Source organism: Homo sapiens, chromosome X (assembly GCF_000001405.40).
Source record: "Homo sapiens chromosome X, GRCh38.p14 Primary Assembly".
In the NCBI taxonomy this organism is placed as follows: domain Eukaryota; kingdom Metazoa; phylum Chordata; class Mammalia; order Primates; family Hominidae; genus Homo; species Homo sapiens.
In genome coordinates this window covers 49,235,470-49,259,849 of record NC_000023.11, presented here as the reverse complement: position 1 = coordinate 49,259,849, position 24,380 = coordinate 49,235,470, and the positions used below count along the sequence as shown (strand labels likewise).

Genomic DNA, 24,380 nt, shown 5'->3' with positions numbered 1-24,380 from the left:
TTATAAAATGTGCACACGGAAACACTTCCTAAAGAAAGAAGTGGAGTTCTCAAGTCACTATGGGACTACGGAACTCGGCATCTGAGCATCCCCTTCTGTATAATGGGGTTGGCTGGGCAGTCCCTTCCAGCTCTGGCTTCCTCTCAGACCAGGATTATAGGATCCTGAAAAGCCAGTGCTTCCCTCAGGGAGTGGAAGGTTCTGGGGCTCAGCAGGGGGCCCGGAGCCATTGTGGAGGGCTTTCAAGGTGAGGACAATAGAAGAGCAGGTCTTGCGTGGCTTGGACAGGGAAAGAGGAGAAGGAGTGGGCATTTGAGGCAGGGGGTGTAGCATGAGCCAGGCTTGAGGGCCAGAAATTGGGGTGAACTCTGATGGGGGCTGGGTAGAGAAGCTTCTACAGGCCCCAGCTCAAGAGACCCCATCTCTCCTCCTCTCTGTCACTTGCCATGCTGGATCCGTGCATGATCACACTCCTGGACTCGCCTCCTTGCCCTGAGATCCAGACCCCCGTATTCAGCTGCCCCCTCAGCTCCTCCACTCACATATTTAATGCCAGACTCTTCATGTCTATCTACACCTGCACTTTTGCACCCAATCCAACTCCCCGCCATGTCCCCCATCTCAGGTAATGTCAGCTCGGTCCTTCCAGCTGCTCAAGCTAAAACCCATGTCACTTTGACTCTCCCTCTTGCCCACTACATCCAAGCTGCTAGCACTGCTCCTGATCCAGCTTCAGATTAAGTCTCAGAATCTACCCACTTCTCGCCTTCTCCACTGCCACCAGCCCATTCTGTGCCAGCATCATCACTTGCCAGGACTGTTACAATAGCCTCCTCACTAGCCCCACTCACAGCAGCCAGATGAATCTTTTGAGTCCATGCCTAGTCACTGGGGCAAAATAGGACTCCGAGGAGAAAGTCCGAGACCAGCTCCGGCAAGATGAGCAAACACAGCCTGTGCAGGGTGCAGGGAGGGCTAGAGGCCTGAGGCTTGAAACAGCTCTCAAGTGGAGGGGGAAACAACCATTGCCCTCATAGAGGACACATCCACACCAGGGCTGTGCTAGCGTGGGCAGGCAAGCCAGGTGCTGGACCTCTGCACGTGGGGCATGTGTGGGTATGTACATGTACCTGTGTTCTTGGTGTGTGTGTGTGTGTGTGTGTGTGTGTGTGTCTAGAGCTGGGGTGCAACTATGGGGCCCCTCGGGACATGTCCCAGCCAATGCCTGCTTTGACCAGAGGAGTGTCCACGTGGCTCAGGTGGTCGAGTATCTCATACCGCCCTAGCACACGTGTGACTCCTTTCCCCTATTGTCTACGCAGCCTGCCCTTGGACAAGGACCCGATGCCCAACCCCAGGCCTGGCAAGCCCTCGGCCCCTTCCTTGGCCCTTGGCCCATCCCCAGGAGCCTCGCCCAGCTGGAGGGCTGCACCCAAAGCCTCAGACCTGCTGGGGGCCCGGGGCCCAGGGGGAACCTTCCAGGGCCGAGATCTTCGAGGCGGGGCCCATGCCTCCTCTTCTTCCTTGAACCCCATGCCACCATCGCAGCTGCAGGTGAGGCCCTGGGCCCAGGATGGGGCAGGCAGGGTGGGGTACCTGGACCTACAGGTGCCGACCTTTACTGTGGCACTGGGCGGGAGGGGGGCTGGCTGGGGCACAGGAAGTGGTTTCTGGGTCCCAGGCAAGTCTGTGACTTATGCAGATGTTGCAGGGCCAAGAAAATCCCCACCTGCCAGGCCTCAGAGATTGGAGGCTCTCCCCGACCTCCCAATCCCTGTCTCAGGAGAGGAGGAGGCCGTATTGTAGTCCCATGAGCATAGCTATGTGTCCCCATCCCCATGTGACAAGAGAAGAGGACTGGGGCCAAGTAGGTGAGGTGACAGGGCTGAGGCCAGCTCTGCAACTTATTAGCTGTTTGATCTTTAAAAAGTTACTCGATCTCCATGAGCCTCAGTTTCCATACGTGTAAAAGGGGGATGATCATAGCATCTACCATGTGGGCTTGCAGTGCAGAGTATTTGAATTAGACACAGAACAGTGAGGATCAGGATGGCCTCTCACCCACCTGCCTTTCTGCCCAGCTGCCCACACTGCCCCTAGTCATGGTGGCACCCTCCGGGGCACGGCTGGGCCCCTTGCCCCACTTACAGGCACTCCTCCAGGACAGGCCACATTTCATGCACCAGGTATGGACGGTGAATGGGCAGGGAGGAGGGAGCAGGTGGGAGAACTGTGGGGAGGGGCCCCGAGTCAGGCTGAACCACAGCCCACATGTGCCCCCCAGCTCTCAACGGTGGATGCCCACGCCCGGACCCCTGTGCTGCAGGTGCACCCCCTGGAGAGCCCAGCCATGATCAGCCTCACACCACCCACCACCGCCACTGGGGTCTTCTCCCTCAAGGCCCGGCCTGGCCTCCCACCTGGTAACACCTCAGCCCGTACCCCATGGCTTCACAGAACCCCCAAGTCCCCAGATCCTTGGCTGTGAGCAGTGTAGGCTATTCTGAATTGCAGTACTCTGGGGGTCAAAGGTGTCAGGTCTCAGAGGCTTGGAAACTCCACCCTCCAAAAAACGTCAGGTGCAGAACCTTAAAGATGCAGAATGTCAAAATCACAAAACCACAGAGCTTTACAAAGCTAGTCAAAATGTCAGCACCTGCGAATGGCCGTCTTTAAGCTTCTCTGCCAGAAGCCTGGGACTTTGGGGACAGCAGAGCCCCCTGGGAGTCAGGGTTTTCGAGGCTCAGGAGGGTGGGAAGCTCAAAATGAGAGGCCTTGTGGGCCAAGCTCCAGAGCCCAGCCCACAGCCTCCATAGGTGCCCTGTCCCCACCCACAGGGATCAACGTGGCCAGCCTGGAATGGGTGTCCAGGGAGCCGGCACTGCTCTGCACCTTCCCAAATCCCAGTGCACCCAGGAAGGACAGGTCAGTGGACAGGGCTGGGAAGGATCCTCGCCCTCCTATCCCCTCCCCTGACACCCTCTGTCCCCCCAGCACCCTTTCGGCTGTGCCCCAGAGCTCCTACCCACTGCTGGCAAATGGTGTCTGCAAGTGGCCCGGATGTGAGAAGGTCTTCGAAGAGCCAGAGGACTTCCTCAAGTGAGTGGCCCAGGCCTGTGCCAGTCTACCGGCCCTGGCTTGTGGGGAGAGGTCTAGGGTGCAGATCTCAGCTCAGGCTTCATCCCAATAAGTAGTAAGATGCAAGAGCTAAACTCTGAGACTGTGGGTTCAAATCCCAGCTCCATCCCTGACTGGCTGTGTGACCTTGGACAAATTACTTAGCTTCTCTCGACCTCAGTTTTCTCGTATGTATAATAAGAAACGTTTGTGCTGTTATTTACCCCCATTTTACAGACAAGGAGACTGAGGCCAAAGAGGTTAAGTGTCTTGATCAAAATCTCCCAGTTCCTGAGTGACAGAGCTGGGATTTGAACCCATGTAGCCAGGCTCTAGAATCTGCACTCCTGCTTTGCCCTGCTACTCCTCATGCCAACATGCCAGCCTTATTCCACTGTTCCCAAAGTTCTAGCTCCTCTAGATGGCTGCTGCTGCCTCCCCTCAGTCCCCCCATATGTCTCTCTCTCTCTCTCTCTCTCTCTCTCTCTCTCTCTCTCTCTCTCTCTCTCTCTTTCTCTCTCTCTCACACACACACACACACAAATACACACCACACTACACACAACCCTTAGCAGCAACCCCACATGTCCTGTCCTCCTTGCAGCCAGGCCTTTGCACAGGCCGTCCCTCCACCCAGAATGCTTTGCCCACTCTCACCTCCCTGGCCCATTCTCAACTCACCACACTTCCAACATTATCTCCAGCACTCTGGCCAGGCTCAAGTGGTGAGTTCAGGCCTGACATGCAGTAGGTGCTGAGGGGCATGTGTTAAGGGAACGAGGGGTGTGAGAGGGAGACTGAGGTAGAGAGGGGAGGGGAGCTGGGGCTCAGAGGAGAGAACTCCCAGAGGGTCTGGGCCCTCCCCATTCAGAGCATTGAGCCAGACCAGGCCTGTCGTGGTCACCTGCATGGAATCTTCTCCCTACTTAGGCACTGCCAGGCGGACCATCTTCTGGATGAGAAGGGCAGGGCACAATGTCTCCTCCAGAGAGAGATGGTACAGTCTCTGGAGCAGCAGGTAATGCCAGGGCGGTGGAGGGTAAGGGATAGGGATAGTGCGCAAAACCTTCTGTCCACCATGTGCCAGAAACCAAGTTCACCTGGGACGAGGGCTGGTATAAAGGAAGGAAGAGGAGCGGGCACTCCCAGGGAAGACCGTAGCCTGGGCAAAGATGTGGCAGAGAAGGGCCAGGCTGAGGCCTCATGTTTGTGCCATTTCACAGCTGGTGCTGGAGAAGGAGAAGCTGAGTGCCATGCAGGCCCACCTGGCTGGGAAAATGGCACTGACCAAGGCTTCATCTGTGGTGAGCGACCCCAGGACTGGTGGTGGCAGACTCAGACTGCTGGGGGGCAGGGAGGAGGTCTGCACGGTGCAGGGAACCTAACCTCACATTCAGGTCCTGAGAGCTAGGGGCCCCTGTCCCCAGCTCCAAACATGCCCAGACCTGGAAATCTGTCCCCTTCTACTTACAAACCCTCTGACCCCGGCTGGGCGTGGTGGCTCACGCCTGTAATCCCAGCACTTTGGGAGGCCGAGGCGGGTGGATCACGAGGTCAGGAGTTCAAGACCAGCCTCGCCAAGATGGTGAAACCCTGTGTCTACTAAAAGTACAAAAAATTAGCCAGGCGTGGTGGCAGGTGTCTGTAGTCCCAACTACTTGGGAGGCTGAGGCAGAGAATTGCTTGAACCTGGGAGGCGGAGTTTGCAGTGAGCTGAGATCATACCACTGCACTCCAGCCTAGGCGACAGATCAAGACTCCGTCTCAAGAAAAAAAAAAAAAAAAAACCCTCTGACTCTAAGATCCCCAAACACTGTGATCCTGAGTTGTTAAAGCAAATGCAAATAGCCAGACTTGCCAGATGCAGGCTGTGTGCCAGCAGGACCAGCTATGTAACCTGCAGGGCCCCTTGTTCAGATTTCAAGATGGCGACCACAGAGCATTAAACAAAGCACAGGGTGCCACATAACCACATAGGTCACACGCCCATGAAGCCAGCCCTGGAGGCCAGGCACTGTTTCTGAGCGCTTTGCTGGTGGTAATTTATTTCTCATGATGCGAATGTACAGATGAGGAATATTGAGGCCAGGGGGGTTTAGGTGACTTTCCCAAGGTCACAGTTGGGTGGTAAAGAGCCCTATTCAACCCCAGTTCATGGTCCCAGCATCAGTGGCCACATACGACATCCGCACCTGTGCTCTAATAAATACGGCTCATGCTGTTTTGTGGGATTCCACCTCAGACTGGAATTTAGAAGAGGGCGTCCTTGCTTTGAAAAACACTGATTTAAAAATAAAGTGGAGCCAGGCGCAGTGGCTCATGCCTGTAATCCCAGCACTTTGGGAGGCTGAAGCGGGTGGATCACATGAGGTCAGGAGTTCGAGACCAGCCTGGCTAACATGGTGAAACCCCATCTCTACCAAAAATACAAAAATTAGCTGGGCGTAGTGACGGGCACCTGTAGTCCCAGCTACTCGGGAGGCTGAGGCAGAAGACTTGCTTGAATCTGGGAGGTGGGGGTTGCAGTGAGCCGAGATTGCACCACTGCACTCCAGCCTGGGCGACAGAGCAAGACTCAGTATCAAAAAAAATAAAAAACATAAAATAGAAAGTAAAAAGTGGGAAGTTTAAGCCTCTGGGTCACCAGCCTCTCCCCCTCACCCAGGCATCATCCGACAAGGGCTCCTGCTGCATCGTAGCTGCTGGCAGCCAAGGCCCTGTCGTCCCAGCCTGGTCTGGCCCCCGGGAGGCCCCTGACAGCCTGTTTGCTGTCCGGAGGCACCTGTGGGGTAGCCATGGAAACAGCACATTCCCAGGTAAGAATGGTCCTTGCACTACACGGTGCCCCCAAGCTCCTAATCCTGACAGGCTCTGGGTGGAGGGTGCAAAGGAGCTCCATGCTGCCCCTTCCCACCACCACCACCACTGCAGCTGCCGCCACTCAGCCTTTGGGAAAATGCATCCGCTCACAAAAGCTTCCTTTCGGGATGTCCGTGGCCTGAAAGCCCCCCATATGGTCTCGAGTGTCGGGCCCCTAGCCCTGACTCCCTTGGGGATTGGGGCCATGCCTCACCCACTCTGGACTCCAGCTACTATATTCGGCCATCAGAAGGGAGGGACCCTGCTAAGTAATTCCAGGAGCACCTCCTTTCCTCCCCTGACCAAGGAAAATCGGGGTGGATTCGCCCGAGCTCACCTATCCACTGCTCTCCACCAGGCCTGGCCTGTGGGCTTAGCAGGGATCAGAGACCTTGACTGTCATCCTGGCTCTGCCATTTAACCTCTTGCATCCTTTGGTGTGCAAGTTACTCCGCTTCTTTTCAACCTCGGGGAGAACTATTTTGGCAGAAGTGGTGCAAAGAATAAATGATACAACTTATGTCAGGTGCTCAGCAAACAGTACCTGTGCCCGTGGACACGGGTGTTGACGGTGAGATCTCAGGCCTGTAGACTCACCTTGTAGGGGGAGGGGACAGGGAGCTAGCTAGGAGGTCCTGCATGGGGCTTGATTCATCCCCACCCTCTGACAGAGTTCCTCCACAACATGGACTACTTCAAGTTCCACAACATGCGACCCCCTTTCACCTACGCCACGCTCATCCGCTGGGTAAGCAGGGCAGCTCGGCCCCAAGGAGGAGGAAGACAAAGATGGGGTGGGGGACCTGCCTCCCAAACTCCTGTCTCCCTCTGAGTGCCCTCAGAGTGGGTTCCTCCATTCCCAAGCCCCAGCCCCAAGGATCCCCAAGCCGTGCCTCAAATGTGACCCCTCATGCTGGCTTCACCCCAAACCTGTCCGCAAATCCAAACCTAAACCACCATCCAGGCCAGAGCATGCCAAATTCTGACCCTAAACCTACCCCTTTCCAGATGTCCACCTCAGCCCCATACCTAACCCTCTCCTGGACCCATAAAATAGCCTAAAGCTAACCCCATCTCTGCACCTTGCCCTAAACGTACCCCAGCTCTTACTCTAACTCCTTCCCCAGCCTTTATGCCAACCCAACCCCATCTCCTTCCCTGGCCCCAACGTACCCCAGTATGTCAATACACCCCCAACTGGGCACCATTCCCAACCTTTCCTTGTAACACCCATTTGATCCTTAACTTCATCACCCCATCCCAACTCCTTCATCTCAGCCTCCCCAATGCCTTCTCAGAACCTTCATCCTAGCGCCACACCTAACCCCAAACCTGAACCTCACCCCTACATGATACCAGATATTCCCCGACTGTCTCTGAACTGAAACCCTGACCTAGCCCCATCCTGACTGATAGCCTCACTGCAATCATCATCGCTGACTCTGTAATCCCATTCCTGAATCCAAACTGATCAAATTCCCTGACCCTCAGCCTCACTCCACACCGAACCCCACAACTAACCTCATCCTTGCCCTGAGCCTAACCACCTAACCATGTCCCTGACACGTAAGATACTCGATAATTCAAACCATCTCTGGCTTCTGACCTAAAGCCAAGTCATCCCATCCCTCACCCCTAGACCCCCCACCTGAGTCCACCCCAGCCTGACTCTTAACCCACCCCTTCCCTGACCCTTAAGTTGGCCTGGCCCTTTACCCCTTCCAAATCCTTGACCCCACTTCTGACCCTTCACCTTCCCCAACCCTGAAATGTCACCTCCACAGAGAACCCCAACTCCAACTCCATCCCAGACCTTTCACCTCACTTCAGCCCTAGCCCTGAACAAGACCCCACTCCCAACCTCAGTCCTGATCCCTTACCTAATCCCAGAACAACCATACCCACACCCATCTAACCCTGCCCAACCCGACACTTCACCCCTTTTCTAACCCCATCTTTGACCCCATGCTTCACCCCACATCTAGTCCTGTCCCTGATTACCTGCCCCTACAATTCCGCCCCCATGTCAGATGGCTCGGGGTAGGTCATAGCCCCTCTAAACCCCAAGTTTGGGGAATGTGCCCCTTACCCCACCCCCCAACTTCCAGGCCATCCTGGAGGCTCCAGAGAAGCAGCGGACACTCAATGAGATCTACCACTGGTTCACACGCATGTTTGCCTTCTTCAGAAACCATCCTGCCACCTGGAAGGTGAGCTCCTCTGAGGTGGCGGTGACTGGGATGGCCTCAAGTGCCATCGCAGCTCAAAGTGGGCAGGCCTGGGTCTGGGCTCATAGGCACATTGGGGAGGAACGGGATGTGGGTTGTTGGTGGTGGCTGCTGGCCTCAGAGGTTGACGCCCACCTGCTCCCTGTCCCCGGCCTTCCACAGAACGCCATCCGCCACAACCTGAGTCTGCACAAGTGCTTTGTGCGGGTGGAGAGCGAGAAGGGGGCTGTGTGGACCGTGGATGAGCTGGAGTTCCGCAAGAAACGGAGCCAGAGGCCCAGCAGGTGTTCCAACCCTACACCTGGCCCCTGACCTCAAGATCAAGGAAAGGAGGATGGACGAACAGGGGCCAAACTGGTGGGAGGCAGAGGTGGTGGGGGCAGGGATGATAGGCCCTGGATGTGCCCACAGGGACCAAGAAGTGAGGTTTCCACTGTCTTGCCTGCCAGGGCCCCTGTTCCCCCGCTGGCAGCCACCCCCTCCCCCATCATATCCTTTGCCCCAAGGCTGCTCAGAGGGGCCCCGGTCCTGGCCCCAGCCCCCACCTCCGCCCCAGACACACCCCCCAGTCGAGCCCTGCAGCCAAACAGAGCCTTCACAACCAGCCACACAGAGCCTGCCTCAGCTGCTCGCACAGATTACTTCAGGGCTGGAAAAGTCACACAGACACACAAAATGTCACAATCCTGTCCCTCACTCAACACAAACCCCAAAACACAGAGAGCCTGCCTCAGTACACTCAAACAACCTCAAAGCTGCATCATCACACAATCACACACAAGCACAGCCCTGACAACCCACACACCCCAAGGCACGCACCCACAGCCAGCCTCAGGGCCCACAGGGGCACTGTCAACACAGGGGTGTGCCCAGAGGCCTACACAGAAGCAGCGTCAGTACCCTCAGGATCTGAGGTCCCAACACGTGCTCGCTCACACACACGGCCTGTTAGAATTCACCTGTGTATCTCACGCATATGCACACGCACAGCCCCCCAGTGGGTCTCTTGAGTCCCGTGCAGACACACACAGCCACACACACTGCCTTGCCAAAAATACCCCGTGTCTCCCCTGCCACTCACCTCACTCCCATTCCCTGAGCCCTGATCCATGCCTCAGCTTAGACTGCAGAGGAACTACTCATTTATTTGGGATCCAAGGCCCCCAACCCACAGTACCGTCCCCAATAAACTGCAGCCGAGCTCCCCACATGCTGGACTATCACCCCATATAAGGGTTGCGGTCAGTGGGCAGGGGTCTGGGTCCAAGGCCGCAGCAGGAGGAACTGGACAGCGGAGGAAGTAGCTAGGGCATGTGCTTGGCCACTGCCTCCAGCACCCCAAATCCCTGCCTGAGGCTGGGGAGAGACCTCTGCCGGCGGCTCCTCAGGCCTCCCGGACCCGGCCTAGGAGGCCAGCGTTCTCCTGGCGGAGGGCTCGGTAGTCCTCCCGGATCTTCTCCAGGTTGCTGAGGGTCTTCTTGCCCAGCTCTGTCTCGATCTGAGGCAATGTGAACACATGCCCCCTCAGCACACACAGCCCCTTTCCCAGCTCCTGCTCACCAGCCCCCATCACAGCCACTCTGGGCCCCTCCCACCAACTCCAACAGCCTGCTCTGTCCCATGGCCAGGCCTCGTGTGGTGTTCCCTCTACCCAAAGCATCCTTCGCCATGTGGCAGGATTCCCCCTACATCTTTAAGCTGAAGCCTCTGCCCATGGCCCTGGGAGGCAGACAGGAGGGCCCTTGGGGTGGAAGCTGGGGCTCACAGTAGGCCACTTGCCTGTCCCAGGTCACAGGCACTAAGGGGCAGGGCTGGGTGTCCAGCCATCGGCTGTGTGTGGCTCCACAGCCTCTGTCAGCATAACCTGAGGAACTGTCCCCCCGGCCCGCCTTGGCTCCCCATCCTGCCCCCAGGCCTCACCTGCTCCTCGAGGTCTCGAACCTCCCGCATGATGGTGCCTGTGTCCTCGATGGTCTGGATGAGCTGGCTGCAGTTCTGGGGACAACAGGAGCAGAAGGCTTGCACCCAGTCCCACCCACCCCCAGCAGCCCCACCCCAGGCACATGTCTCCCCTCACCTCGTGCAGAGCAGCTAGATACTTATAGGCCTTCCGAACAGCATCGTCCTTCTTGGCATCCTGACCAGACACAGGGACCTCAAAGGTATCAGTGGGCTGCCCTTGACCATCTCCATGCCCTAAGAAGGCCACCCTCTCCCACCACCCCACTAGCTTCATCCTCCATGAAACAAAGCCAGCCCTGGGTATCAGTGCACCTCCAGCCTCGCACAGGGCCTGGGTCTGGACCCCAGCCAGCCAATTAGCAGATGCACAAGGCAGCAGCCCAGCCTCACCCCACTCACCCCCGCCCAACCTGCCCCACACCTTGAACACAAGCTCATCAGTCACCGCAAACGTCCGGTCCAGCTTCCCAGATAGGGAGTTGATTTCCTTCTGAAGCTCCTTCGTATCAGACAAGATCTGGCAGACACCATGGCAGCCATGAGCCCCTGCCTGGGGCAGGCTGGCTAGCAGTGGAGGGTCCTCATGTGTACCAGACAGGGACTGTGTCACTGTGTCAGGGGTGACTGGGATGGATTGTGTGTGACTATTCTGTGTTAGAGTGTGACTGGACAGCTCTGCCTGAGGGTGTGAGGTCCCTGTGCGGCCACACTATGCCTGACAGCCCACATGACCCACCCTCCATGGCCCTGGCAGTGTACCTTGGTGATCTCTTCCTTCTGCTTCCGGATGTTGCCCACGATCTCCAGGATGCGCTGGGTGTAGGCCAGCCGGGACACATCTCTGGGCAGAGTCTCCAGCTCTGACATCTAGGCAGGGATATAGCAGGCACTGCCCCAGGACCATCCCCCCACCCTCCTAAGCTACCCAGGTCCCTCACACAGGCCTTACCAGCTGCTTATAGACCTCCTCCTTCCTGCGGGCCTCTTCAGCAGCCGCCCGGACACTCTGGTGCAGTTCTTGGATCTCTGCCAGCCGTCGAGAAGATTCCAGCTGCCATGAGCCCACAGGCAGAAGACAGTGAGCAGAGCATAGGGATGGCCCCCTAGAGAGGGACCGAGCCTGCCCTGGCCCGCCCACAGCCCAGGGCCCCACTGCTTACCTCTCTGCAATCCTGCAGCTTTCGGAGGTGGCGGTACTCAGCGAGGAGTGGGACCCGGTGCTTCTCCCACTGACCCGCCAAGTGGATGACCCGCTGGGCACTATTCTCCACCACAAGCTGGTGGGGGATGGGTACATGTCACACAGGCTGGGCCCTCCAACCCCACCCCACCCCACCCTGCCCCTCTCCGCCCAGCTACAGCCCCAACCCCACCTGCAGCTTGGCAAGGTTGGCAGTCCCATCGGGCAGCAGCTCCACCGCGCGGCTCTTCAGGCGCAGGGCCTGCTCACGCTCTGCTGTACTGAGCTTGCTGTGCCGGCACTCAGACTCTGCCTGGCCGGTGGATACCCAGTCACATGCCACAGCCCCCATGGAGCTCCACAGATGACTGTACACCCCTGTGGCCCCCACAGGCCTCTCTAACAGCTCCACGCTGGTGCCAAGGACCCCGAGGACCCCCTAATCCCCTGTCCATGCAGACCCGTGGGTACCCCACAGATGCCCACAGACCCTCCGAGGACCCCTCAATCCCCTGCCCATGCAGACCCGCGGTGCCCCATAGATGCCCACAGACCCTCACCCTGGCCTGATTCTCATAGCCACCCTCAAGAGGCCCACAGATCCCTAATGGCTCCCAGGAACCCTTCTGCCATGTGCAGACCTCTACAGAGCACCTCTTGCCCCATCTAGTCCCTCACACCCCGAGGCCCTCCTTCTGACCTAGCCCAACGCGCAGCCCCTCCTCCGCCCCTTACCTGCACAAAGCTGACGCCCAGGGTCTTCATGTCGGCCTCAACCTCCTCAATGCTGCGGTTCACTCCTTCCAGCTGCTCCCGAAGGGACTCGAGCTCCTGTTCCTGAGCTGCCCACGTGACCTGGGAGGCCCAGGCCAGTCAGGGTTGGGGTGTCAGGCCCAGTAGACAAGCAAGGGCCTGGGACACCCCCCTCCAAACCACTCTGCTCACCTGTTCAGGCCGCCGGGAGGTGGCTGGCACATCTGACACCTGAGTGGCCTGGGCCTGGGGCTCCTAAGGGGAGTGACGAGGGGCATCCTGGCTGCCAGGGAAGGCCCTTCCTCACGTGGCCCAGCCTCAGCCTCCCCTGAGAACTGCCCCCAGTGCGGCATGCATGCCCACTGAAGCACCGATGGTGGCCAGACTGTGACTATGTGGGTAAAGGCACCATCTGCAACCTCGGGCCAGAGTGCTTGCTCGTGGAGAAATCTCCCTGACCCTGTCACAGCTCCTACCCACCTGCCCCATCTCTCAAGCCTCAAATGCCCATGAGAAGGATGGGGGGCCCTCAGAGTGAACATCTTAGGACAGAAGATATGCTCAAAGGAAACTGCCTGAGGAAAGGGGGTGTTGCCCCAAGAACACCCCCACACCTTTGCATGGTTCCCACCTATCCACATTTTCTCCAGTCAAGTCCCTAATAAGCTAGGGGACCCCTCTGGGTACCCATCCCACAGTGGGGCGAGGGCCTGTCCAGTGGGAACACAGGAACCTGTGTGGATAAAGGTGTGGTGCTGACACAAAAAGCCACCCTCCAAGCCTGCCACGCCCATCCACACATCTCATGTCCTCAGGCGCACCCACCAGATGGAAGGTGAACTTCTCTGAGTGCGTGAAGCGGGAGCCCTTAGGAGCACCAGTCTTGGCCCCAGCACCCCAGGCCTGCAGCAGTTCTCCCAGGTCCCGGGCTTGTATGGGGGCCCCAAGCAGGCCCCAGCTTTGGCGCAGATGCTCAGTCAGTTGCTTTTGCAGCCGCTGCCGCTGAGCCCGTGTGTCCTCCTGGGGAGAAAAGGCGGGGGAAGCAGGAAGGTGTAGGGGCCCACCTAGCACCCAAGGCCCTGCCTCCTCCAAGGACCCCCTGACAAGAGTATACTGACAAGTCACCCCCACCCTCCAGCCTTCCCACTAAGGCAGGCCCTGCTCTACTCTCCTGCTCCACCAGCCTGGGATCTCCTCGAGGACAGGGGTCTCCTCTTGCTCACAGACATACTTCTCTCCACCCACTAGATCCCCATGCTGGAGAAGGATGTGGGAAGAGAGGGGGGTGGGCCTAGAGCCCCCAAATCCAAGAGAAGCATAGACAGGATATCGGGGGACAGGGCAGAGACAGGGAATCAAAGGTACCAAGCACAGAAAGAGGCAGAGAGAGAGAGGCAAGAGAGGGACAACAGAGTTTCAAGATAATGGGAAAATCTGATTATGAACTCAAGTATTGGATGGTATTAAGATATCATTGTTGGCCGGGTACAGTGGCTCATGCCTATAATCCTAGCCCTTTGAAAGGCCAAGGTAGGTAGATCACCTGAGGTCAGGAGATCAAGACCAGCCTGGCCAACATGGTAAAACCCCGACTCTACTAAAAATACAAAACTTAGTGTGCTCCTGTAATTCCAGCTACTTGGGGGCTGAGGCAGGAGAATGGCTTGAACCCAGGAAGTGGAGGTTGCAGTGAAGCGACATCACGCCATTGCACTCCAGCCTGGGCAACAGAGAGAGACTCCGTCTCAAAAACAAAACAAAAAAAAACAAAAAAAAAACAAAACAAAACAAAACAAAAAAAAACCCACAAGATATTATTGTTAACTTCATTAGCCATGAAAATGGTCCAGTGGTTACCTTGAAAACTGAATGTCCTTATGAGTTAAGAGATGTAGTCCTAAGTATTTAGAGCTGAAATGACATGATGTCTGAGATTTGCTTTAAAATAATACAGCAACAAAGAAAAAGTTGGGAGAGAAAAGATGAAGAAAAGTTGGCAAAATGGTACATAGGATTCACTAGAATATTCTCTCTACATTTATGTTTGAAAATTACTACAGATATAAAAACAAAGACAGACAGCCAGGCGTGGTGGCTCACGCCTGTAATCACAACACTTTGGGAGGCCGAGGCAGATGGATCATGAGGTCAAGAGATCGAGACCATCCTGGCCAACATGGTGAAACCCTGTCTCTACTAAAAATACAAAAATTAGCTGGGCGTGGTGGTGCATGCCTGTAGTCCTAGCTATGTGGGAGGCTGAGGCAGGAGAATCACTTGAACCCAGGAGGCAGAGGTTGCAGTGAGCTGAGATCGTACCACTGTACTCCAGCCTGGGTGACAGAGCGAGACTCCATCTCAAAAAATAATAATAATGATAAAAAAATAAAAATGTAAAAAGACACAGAGGTGAAGACAGAAAGAGAGGACAGATAAAAAAGTGGACAGACCAGGAGGGGGCCGACACAGAGGTGGAGAAAAAGAGGGGCAGACAGAGATGTGGACACAGAGGAAGAGGAGACAGATAAAGAGGCAGACAGAAGGGGAGGGGGGCCAAATACAGAGGTGGACAGAGAGGAAGAGGGGACAGATATAAAGGTGGACAGAAGGGGAGGGGTACTGATACCTGGGTGAACACAGAGGAAGAGGGAACAGAAATAGGAGAGCAGAATGGAGGGAGGGAAAAAGAGAAGTGGACAGAGAGGAAAAGGGGACAGATAAAGAAATGGACAGAGGGAGAGGGGTGACAGAGAGGTGGACAGAGAGAAGGAGGGGACAGATGCAGAGGTGGACAGAGGAAGAGGGGACAGATAAGTGGACAGAGGGGAAGAGGGGACAGATACAGAGATGGATAGAGAAGAAGAGGGGACAAAGAGGTTGACAGAGAAGAAGAGGGGGCTCGGCATGGTGGCTCATGCCTGTAATCCCAGCACTTTGGAAGGCCAAGGTGGGTGGATTGCTTCAGGTCAGGAGTTCGAGACCAGCCTGGTCAACATGGCAAAACCCCATCTCTACAAAAAATACAAAAATTAGCCGGGCGCACGCACCTGTAGACCCAGCTACTCAGATGCCTGAGGTGGGAAGATTGCTTGAGCCCGGGAATTTGAGGCTGCCTTGAGCCCTGATCATGCCATTGTAGTCCAGCCTGGGTGACAGAGCGAGACACCGTCTCAAAAAAAAAGAAGAAGAGAGGACAGATAAAGAGATGGACAGAAGGGGAGGAGGGACAAATACAGAGGTGGACAGAGAGGAAGAAGGGAGAGATAAGGGGACAGAGGGAAGGGGCAACAGATACAGAGGTGGACAGAGAGGAAGAGGAGAGAGATTAAGAAGTAAACAGAGGCAGAGGGGTGACAGATATATAGGTGGACAGCAAGGAAGGGGAGAGATACAGAGGTGGACAGAGCAGAAGGGGACACAGATAAAAAGGTGCACAGAGAAGAAGAGGGGACAGATAAAGAAGTAGACAGAGGAGAAGGGGGAACAGATAGATAGACAGAGCAAGAGAGGAATTCAGTACAGAAATGAGGAGACAGAGAGGTAAGAAAGAGGAGCAGCAAAAACACAGAACTAGAATAATGGGGACAGGCAGAAATTGTGCAAAAACCTAGAAACCAGAAAAATGAACATCAGTGACAAGTGCAGAAACAGAGAAAGATTAGGGCCGGGTGCGGTGGCTCATGCCTGTAATCCCAACACTTTGGGAGGCCAAGGTGGGCAGATCACCTGAGGTCAGGAATTCGAGACCAGCCTAGCCAACATGGCAAAACCCTGTCTCTACTAAAAATATAAAAATTAGCCAGGTGTGGTGGTGCAAGCCTGTAATCCCAGCTACTTGGGAGGCTGAGGCAGGAGAATCGCTTGAACCCGGGAGATGGAGGTTGCAGTGTGCTGAGATCACGCCACTGCACTCCAGCCTGGGTGACAGAGCAAGACTCCAAATGAATGAATGAATTAATGAATGATGAAGGCAGGTAGCCAATCTGGATTGCTCCAGTTGCCAGGAATCTCAAGCACATTATTCAGTCTAACTACTGCCCTGAGAGGAGAGCACTATTACTACCCCAAATTTTAGCACAGGAAACCAAGGCTCTGAGGAGGGATACTGACTTGTCCCAGGTTCTCCTTTTTTCTGACTCCAGTGTTCTTTCAGGTGGGGAGCTAGGTAAGCACACACAGAGGGGAAACAATGGAAGGGAGGGACAAAGTGGGGAAGGAGAGCAGAGGACCAGCGGGAGTGTCAGTGAGCAGCAGCCCAGACAGCAGGGAGCCAGGCATCTGGCTGTACCTGGGGTGGGAGGCGGGATGTCCGGTGGACCCAGTCCTCATCCCCTGGCCGGTCCCGGCCCGTCTGCTGGCAGAGCTGCAGGGCATGGTGTTCGAGGAGCGAGGCCACCCTTCCAACAGGCTGAGGCACCTGGGTAGGGACTGGAAGCAGCAGGGGACTCGCCTGGAACTCCCGTGGCTCTGGAGGCAGGAACAGAGTCAGCTGGCCCTGCCGCATGGCAACGCTATGAGGTTCCCCCCCACCTTCCTCCTCACCCCTCCCCACAGCCTCATGCTCACCACCTCTGGAACTCAATTCTGGCACGACCAGCCTGCTGGCATGGAAAGGCTTCTGGAGGGCCGAGCCCTGGTGGGAGAGCAGGCTCAGAATCTCCAGGGTGAAGTGGGATGAGGGTTGCCAGGGGTAGGGGGCCAAAACCCTGGGCACCCAGACGGGGACAAGAGAAGATCCATGGGAGTCAGGGGTCTCACCTGGAGGTGCTGCAGCTTGGGAGTGCGAAGGTGGGGCGGGACCCAAGGCAGTGCCAGCTGGTCCCGAATTTGGCTCCCAATGGCCCGGAGGAGAATAGCTGAGTCACCTATGGGGGATAGGGAGGAAGTGAATCAGATGTCAATGCTGCAAATCCAAAAGGGCATACCCTAGGAGACCAGCCTCCACTCCTGACCCCCATCCAGAGATACACATCTATCCAGCTTGCGTTCTCACGTTCAGTCATTCAACAAACACCGAGCACCTACTATGTACAGGTCGCTGTTCTAGACACTAGGGCTACTTCGTGGAACAAACTGGATAAAGGTCCCTGCCCTCAGGGAGCCGGCAAGCTAGCAGAGGAGAGAGATCATGAATAGGATCCTGAATACCATCCAGACTGCAGCCAGGTGGGGATCAGGAGAGGGCTGCGGAGAGGAGGTTAACCTCAAAGAGGTAAGGGAGTGAACCATGAGGGTACCTAGGGGAAAGGTAACCAACGATACAAAGGTGCAGAGGCGGGAGTGTACTGGGGTATGTTTGAGTAGCACCCAGGAGGCCCAAGTGGTTAGAGCGAAGTGAGAGAGAGGGAGGGCACAGGGGTTGAGTCAGGGAGGCCCCTCCCCGCACCAACGCACCACCGGGGTCAGCTCAACCTCAGCCCCCTGCCCCCTGCCCTGTAGCCCCTCTCTGATGCCTAATCCTCCTGCCTAGCTCTCCTGAAGGCACATACCGCCACCCCTACCCATCAACCTTTTTACCACCTCTACCTCTCTCAGCCCTACAGCCCCTAGAAGGCCCTCCTCTCCCCTCACCGCCCCCGCCCACACCCCAGACACCCAGTACCTGCAGGCTGGTCTGCATCCTCAGAGGCATCGGTGGGCAGACGCTCAGCCAAGAAGAGAAGCAGGTCTCGGAGGTCAGGCTCACTGGGGTAGAGGAAGTTCTGATAGCCAAGCTCCAAGGGATAGCCCAGGTCCTGAGGGTTGGTGGGCGGCTATCAGGAAGCAGGCAGGGTCCTCCTGCCCTGGGAGACTTGGGCCTAGGCTGAAAACGCTCCCACTTTCTCACTAACCACCACCCTCCCAACCTCCCCCAGCTCCCCAAGGCCTCTGGGCCCTGGGGGGAGTCACAGAGTGATGATAGTCAACGCTACAGAGAACAAGAAACAAGATTAAAGCTCTGGCCTTTCTATGACTCAAAATCCAGAGGCCATAAAAGAAAAGATGGGTACTTTTGAATACATGAAAAGAAAGAAAATATTTAAAGAAAATAGAATAAGCAAAGTCAAAAGTTAATGACAAGTTGGGAAAAAATATTTGGAGCCCATATCATAGGTAAAGAGCAAATCTACCTATTATAGAAAGAGTGCCTAAAAATAAACAGGACAAAAAGACCAGAAGCACAATAGCTCAGAACAAAAGGACTCATGAGGGTTCTGATGGGGACTGAGGAAACAGGCCAGGAGAGAAAGAAAGCCTTTTTCCTTTTTTTTTTTTTTTTTTTTTGAGACAGGGTCTCGCTCTGTCGCTCAGGCTGGAGTGCAGTAGCGTGATCTTGGCTCACTGGAACCTCTGCCTCCTGGGCTCAAGTGATCCTCCCACGCAGCCTCCCGAGTAGCTGGGATTACAGGTGCATGCCACCACACCCGGCTAATTTTTGTATTTTCAGTGTAGACAGGGCTACACCATGTTGGCCAGGCTGGTCTCAAACTCCTGGGCTCAAGCAATCTGCCCACCTCAGCCACCCAAAGTGCTGGGATTACAGGTGGGAATCACCACACCCGGCCTAGGAAAGCCTTTTTCTTCCAGAGTTGCCACTGCTTTGGAACTGCATAGACTCTGAAAGCAGACTTCCTGGATTCAAACCCAAGCTTTGCCTCTTACCAACTATACGACCTCAGGCAGATCACTTAATCCCTCTGTGCTTCACTTTCTTCATCTGAAAGAGGGTATACCAACAGTACATATAGCAGAAGGTTGTCCTGAGAATTAAATGAGTTAACACCATGTTACTTACCACAGGGCCTGGCACAGAGTACACTTAGAAGCCATCATTATTCTATACTTAGGAGTATACTGGGTCACAATGCAAGATATATTTATTTTGGAGGCTCAAGGTCAAATAAGTATAACCACTGGCTTTTAAGGTATTTTACTTTGGATTTTTTCCACAATATGCAATCAAAGAGCTGTGACTGATATAGAAACTCATTCCAGGAGTGGGGAAGGTGCCAAAATATGGAGGTGGCTAAGGTGCAGAAACTGTTGCCAGGAGCAGGGCATATGAAGAAAAGATGCCAGAACATGGCAGTGCTGAGTTGCGGGGGGGCTACAGGGACAGCACACAGCTGGATTAAGAGAACTCCTTTTGCCTGCTGCTGATAAACCAAGGCTGCTGGGGGCCAGACAACCATATGTACCTGTTTTTTATTTTTTTGGAAACAAGAGTCTTGCTCTGTCGCTCAGGCTGGAGTGCAGTGGTGCAATCTCGACTCACTGGAACCTCCGCCTCCTGGGTTCAAGCGATTCTCCTGCCTCAGCCTCCTGAGTAGCTGGGATTACAGGCACACACCACCACACCAGGCTAATTTTTGTATTTTTAGTAGAGACAGGGTTTCGCCAGGTTGGCCAGGCTGGTCTCAAACTCCTGACCTCTGGTGAGATCTGCCCGCCTCCACCTCCCAAAGTGCTGGAATTACAGGAGCCACCGTCCCCAGTCTTTTTTTTTTTTTTTTTTTTGGAGATGGGGTTTCACTCTGTTTCCCAAGCTAGAGTGCAGTGGCGCAATCACAGCCCACTGCAGCCTGGACCTCCCAGGCTCAAGCAATCCTCCTACCTCAGCCTCCCACATAGCTGGGACCACAGGCGTGTGCCACCATGCCCAGCTATTTTTTTTTTATTTTTTGTAGAGATGGGGGTCTCACTATGTTGCCCAGGCTGATCTCGAGCTCCTGGGCTCAACTGATCCTCCCACCTCAGACTCCCAAAGTGCTGGGATTACATGCAAGAGCCAACGTGCCCAGCCCACATGTACCTCCTGGCCACTGGAAAAGCCATAGTCACTAACCCCCACTAAAATCAATGTAAGCAAAAGCAGGTGAACAAAATCCAAGAGAGACAGCACTGAGGGAAGAACAGAGAACTGCAGGAAGCCTGAGCCCCCACCTCAACACCTCCTGCTGTGTACTCTCCTCTGCAAACAGAAGACATAACTTCCCCCCTATTAAGTGCTAACCTTAAGAATACATACAGTCCTGGGCCAGGGGACAGACTGCCTGCCTCATAAGGCCACCAAGAGCCCCAGAGAGAACAATGTGACAACTCCTGAGAGCTGGGTGAACCTGAGAGCGAAGGGATGGATGGAGCTCTGAGACCTGTTGCTAAGAGACAGAGACTGCATAAGCAAGGCCCAAATTTAACAACTCTAGCCACCCAGTCCCCTATATCTAAATGAAAGTTTTCACGGTAGTTACTCTATCGTCCCTCCACCACCATATACTTCCTGGGTCAGTTCAAAGTGTTTCCATTCACTATGTATTCACAGGTTCCAGATCGGACCTATCCAATAATAGTAATCCCATTTATGCAAAGCTTATTATAACCAGCTTTTCACACATTAACTCATGTTTAATCCTCACAGCAACCCTATACAGTAGCTACAATTCTTATACCCATTTTACACATGTGGAAACTTAGCCTCAAAAAGGTTAAGAGAGCCAGACGCGGTGGCTCACACCTGTAATCCCAACACTTTGGGAGGCTGAGGTGGGTGGATCACAAGGTCAGGAGTTCGAGACCAGCCTGGCCAAGATGGTGAAACCCTGTCTCCACTAAAAATACAAAAAAATTAGCCGGGCACAGTGGCAGACACCTGTAATCCCAGCCACTCGGCAGGCTGAGGCAGGAGAATTGCTGGAACCCAGGAGGCGGAGGAGGTTGCAGTAAGCCGAGATTGTGCCACTGCACTCCAGCCTGGGCTTCAAAAAAAAAAAAGACTGGCCCAAAGTCACAGAGTGAGTGAGCCAGGGGGAGTGGCATTACTTGCAGCTCTTGAATACAGGAACTGGACTCCTGGACTCAGCTCTATACTGGGAATGGGTGAGTGTTTCATCAGAATGGCTCTTTACCAGGCACAGTGGTGCACGCCTGTAGTCCCAACTACTCAGGAGGCCAAGGCAGGAAGATTGCTTGAGGCCAGGAGCTTAAGACCAGCCTGGGCAACATCTCTACAAAAGCGAGACCCCGTCTCTACGAAAAATTTAAAAATTCTCGGGCAGGGTGGCATGTGCCTATAGTCCTAGCTACTAGTGAGGCAGAGGCAGGAGAATCTCTTGAGGCCAGGAGTTCAAGACCAGCCTGGGCAATATAGCAAGACACTTACCTCTAAAAAAATTAAAATATTTTTTAAAAGAAAAGCACTTTATTTATTCTGTCACAGAGACATTGTTGGAATTGCTCTTAGCAGAGGCAGGATATGTGGTTCCCACAGAGGTAATATAGCAGACACTCTTTTGGGTAACCAGCATGCCTTTCTTTGGGTAATCATCCTTATCCCAACTCCACAGGATCCTGAAGGAGTGGCTAATCACAGTGTCCTATAGGAATGACCGTGTCGGCCGGGCGCAGTGGCTCACGCCTGTAATCTCAGCACTTTGGGAGGCCGAGGTGGGCAGATCACGAGGTCAGGAGTTCAAGACCAGCCTAGCCAACATAGTGAAACCCCGTCTGTACTAAAAATACAAAAATTAACTGAGCATGGTGGTGCATGCCTGTAGTCCCAGCTACTCGGGAGGCTGAGGCAGGAGAATCACTTGAACCCAGGAGACAGAGGTTGCAGTGAGCCGTGAGCTGAGATCACGCCACTGCATTCCAGCTTGGGTGACAGAGAGAGACTTCACATCAAAAAAAAAAAAAAAAGAAAAAAAGAAAAGAAAAGGCTGGGCACGGTGGCTCACTCCTGTAATCCCAGCACTTTGGGAGGCCAAGGCAGGTGGATCATGAGGTCAAGAGATTAAAACCATCCTGGCCAACATGGTGAAACCCCGTCTCTACTAAAAACATGAAAATTAGTTGGGTGTGGTGGCACACGCCTGTAGTCCCAGCTACTCGGGAGGCTGAGGCAGGAGAATTGCTTGAACCCGGGAGGCAGAGGTTGCAGTGAGCCAAGATCGCACCACTGCACTCCAGCTTGGGCGACAAAGTGAGACTCCATCTCAAAAAAAAAAAAAAAAAAGGAATGACCATGTCATCCAGACTGGGCCAATCAGAGCACAGAGTGATTAGTTTAGGAGTATATGACCCAGACAGAGTATTTTCTGGAACTAGGAAATGGATACTATGGGGTGGGGGTGGTATTTTGCAGCTAAATTTAAAACATAGAAGCCAGGAGCAGCCCAGGTGCAAACTGGATAAACTCATTTGCTCCTCATAAAAGCACTACATTTATCATCTCCATTTCACAAATAGGAAAACTGGGGCCCAGAAGGGTTAGGGTCACACAGTTACCAAGTGGTGGGGCTAGGATCTAAACTACTCAGGCAGTTTGGCAGTACAGTCAGCAGCCTTAACCACTAATGAAAACTAAGCCGCAGGAAAAATGACAGAGGAAAGGCAAGTGTTGCAGAGGAAAGGCAAGTGTTGCAGAGGAAAGGCAAGTGTTGCAAAGGAACTTGGTTACTTTGTAAAAGAGGAAGAAAGAGGATGTGTGCATTAGGAGGAGGGCCACTCACCATGCAGGCCTGAGCCAGGCTCATGGCCAGGCGGAACCGGGCAGACATGGCAAGAGGCAGCAGAGGGCTGAGGCCAGAGCCCACCGCAGGGTTGATCACACGCAGGCAGCGGACCACAGCCTCTACAACCAGCTCAGTGGTGAAGGCGCGCAAGGTCTGCACATCTGGAGGAACTGCCCTGAAGAAGGGGACCAGCTTGATCGCAGGAATAGTCAGGCAACAGGGATCAGGCTGAGCCCTGCAGCCTTTTGGAAACACTAGTACCAGGGTCGGGGCAGGGAGGATGCCTACAGTTCAGACAGATCCTGGATGTTGGTGACTGTGACTTCCATTTGGAAAACCAGGAACTAGGGAAATCCTCAAGTCCTAAGATCTTGGAGTAGGAGAATGGTGGGTGGAAGAGAACTCAGTTTAGAAAAATATCAAAATTTGGGAGTCTGGGAAGGTGAAAGGGTCCAGGTGGCACAATCTCTGGGTTTCTTGGTTCCCAGATAGTATGTTCTTTGCATACATATTGAGCTGCTAGAGTTTTGAGAAGACTAGATTTTAGGAGGCTGCTGTTTTCAGAAGTTCCAAATGTCAGGGTCCCTGGGTATCAAGATCCCTGAATATCAAGACCACCTAGTTTCAAGCAATACAAAAATCAGACTCCCTAGATGTTGGCATCCTGGGTTTTTAGGGCCTCTGAACGGAGGAGTCTTCGTGCGTCAGGGTGACCAAATGCTGATGTCAGATTTTAGAATTCTGGGTTTTTTTGGCTGGGCGTGGTGGCTCACACCTGTAATCCCAGCACTTTGGGAGGCGGAGGCGGGCAGATCACTTGAGGTCAGGAGTTGGAGACCAGCCTGACCAACATGGTGAAACCCTGTCTCTGCTAAAAATACAAAAATTAGCCGGGCAAGGTGGCGCACGGCTGTAATACCAGCTACTTGGGAGGCTGAGGCAGGAGAATCACTTGAACCTGGGAGGCGGAGGCTGCAGTGAGCTGAGATCACCCCACTGCACTCCAGCCTAGGCGACAGAGCGAGACTCCATCTCGGAAAAGGAAAAAAAAAAAAAAGAATCCTGGGTTTTTTTAAGCCCCAGGTGTTTGGGGAACTGGAGTTTGAAGGATCCCAAGTATCTGGTCCAGGGATTTTTTGGAGTCCCCGAGTGCCAGGGTCCTGGGGTTTTACGCTCCCTGGTTCTTAGGGCACAGGTGTCTTAGGGTCTCCAGATAACAGGGTCTCAGGGAACTGATGTTAAGATTCCCCAGATTACAGGGTTCCGGGTCTTGAGGTTTCAAGGTTGTAACGTCTCAAGGTGTCTGGGTCCCAGAGCTTTGGGTGTACCAAATATCATGGTTAAAGGATTTGGGAGGCCTCTGATGTCGGTGTCAGGGAGGGCGGTGTGTGTGTGCGTGTGTGTGTGTGTGTGTGTGTGTGTGTGTGTGTGTGTAAGGGGGTGAGGGTCTTAGGATCCTGGAGTTGGAGCCCTGAATGTCAGGATCCCGGGTTTTAAGGTTCCCGGGAAACGGGGTCCTGGGCTTTAGAGTCCCGGATGTGGGCTTCGGGGGTGGGCGGGGGCTCTGTCCTTACGTGCCGGCCTGGCGCAGCGAATGGATGAGGATTCGGTCCGCCTCCTCCATGGTGGAGCCGTGTCGGAGTCGGGGGCTGGGTCCAGGACCGGGTCCGAGAAAGTGGGGAGCAGCTGTAGAAACCCTGCTCCGTGCTCGCGGTCCACAGAGTGTCACGGGTCGTGTGGGGAGAGTTGGAAAGTGTAGTTCTGTGAGCGAGCACGGCGCATGCCGGATGT

The 24,380-nt window shown here is 54.6% G+C and overlaps 2 protein-coding genes across 5 annotated transcripts in view, besides 1 other annotated feature; one reads left to right on the top strand and one right to left on the bottom strand.

Annotated features, from left to right (window-relative positions):
- The window catches only part of FOXP3 (forkhead box P3), a 14,273-nt gene extending 4,861 nt beyond the window's left edge, over positions 1 to 9,412 (top strand). The window contains exons 2-12 of one of the 2 annotated variants that reach the window (NM_014009.4): positions 1,323 to 1,554; positions 2,082 to 2,186; positions 2,285 to 2,423; positions 2,838 to 2,925; positions 2,995 to 3,099; positions 4,048 to 4,135; positions 4,341 to 4,421; positions 5,783 to 5,933; positions 6,648 to 6,724; positions 8,085 to 8,186; positions 8,367 to 9,412. In NM_014009.4, the coding sequence (NP_054728.2) occupies positions 1,345 to 1,554; positions 2,082 to 2,186; positions 2,285 to 2,423; positions 2,838 to 2,925; positions 2,995 to 3,099; positions 4,048 to 4,135; positions 4,341 to 4,421; positions 5,783 to 5,933; positions 6,648 to 6,724; positions 8,085 to 8,186; positions 8,367 to 8,516 (1,296 nt within the window). In that variant the 5' untranslated portion in view covers positions 1,323 to 1,344 and the 3' untranslated portion in view covers positions 8,517 to 9,412. The remainder of the gene's footprint in view (positions 1 to 1,322; positions 1,555 to 2,081; positions 2,187 to 2,284; positions 2,424 to 2,837; positions 2,926 to 2,994; positions 3,100 to 4,047; positions 4,136 to 4,340; positions 4,422 to 5,782; positions 5,934 to 6,647; positions 6,725 to 8,084; positions 8,187 to 8,366) is intronic. The other variant, NM_001114377.2, reaches the window with a different exon arrangement.
- On the bottom strand, positions 9,330 to 24,380 carry CCDC22 (CCC complex scaffolding subunit CCDC22). 3 transcript variants are annotated; one of them, NM_014008.5, is made up of 17 exons: positions 24,164 to 24,380; positions 22,587 to 22,764; positions 17,702 to 17,834; positions 16,858 to 16,964; positions 16,666 to 16,732; positions 16,388 to 16,566; positions 12,925 to 13,119; positions 12,292 to 12,354; positions 12,082 to 12,201; positions 11,540 to 11,659; positions 11,327 to 11,443; positions 11,116 to 11,217; positions 10,926 to 11,033; positions 10,588 to 10,683; positions 10,282 to 10,341; positions 10,125 to 10,199; positions 9,330 to 9,702 (listed from the first exon to the last, which is right to left on the bottom strand). In NM_014008.5, the coding sequence occupies exons 1-17, from the start codon at positions 24,211 to 24,213 to the stop codon at positions 9,589 to 9,591; spliced, it is 1,884 nt and encodes a 627-aa protein (NP_054727.1). In that variant the 5' UTR covers positions 24,214 to 24,380; the 3' UTR covers positions 9,330 to 9,588. The 3 variants fall into 3 exon arrangements, 2 of the variants coding, with proteins under 2 accessions (NP_054727.1, XP_005272656.1); XM_005272599.5 differs by having other exon boundaries at positions 16,669 to 16,732; XR_430506.4 differs by lacking the exons at positions 9,330 to 9,702; positions 10,125 to 10,199; positions 10,282 to 10,341; ... (1 more) ...; positions 10,926 to 11,033; positions 11,116 to 11,217 and having other exon boundaries at positions 11,338 to 11,443; positions 11,540 to 11,655.
- Positions 15,131 to 15,651: a transcriptional cis regulatory region, noted in NCBI's record as "genic|chrX:49100665-49101185 region (GRCh37/hg19 assembly coordinates) targeted for CRISPR interference". NCBI's record gives its function as "negatively regulates GATA1 gene expression in K562 cells {active_cell/tissue: K562}" and the evidence as "EXISTENCE:mutant phenotype evidence [ECO:0000015][PMID:31784727]".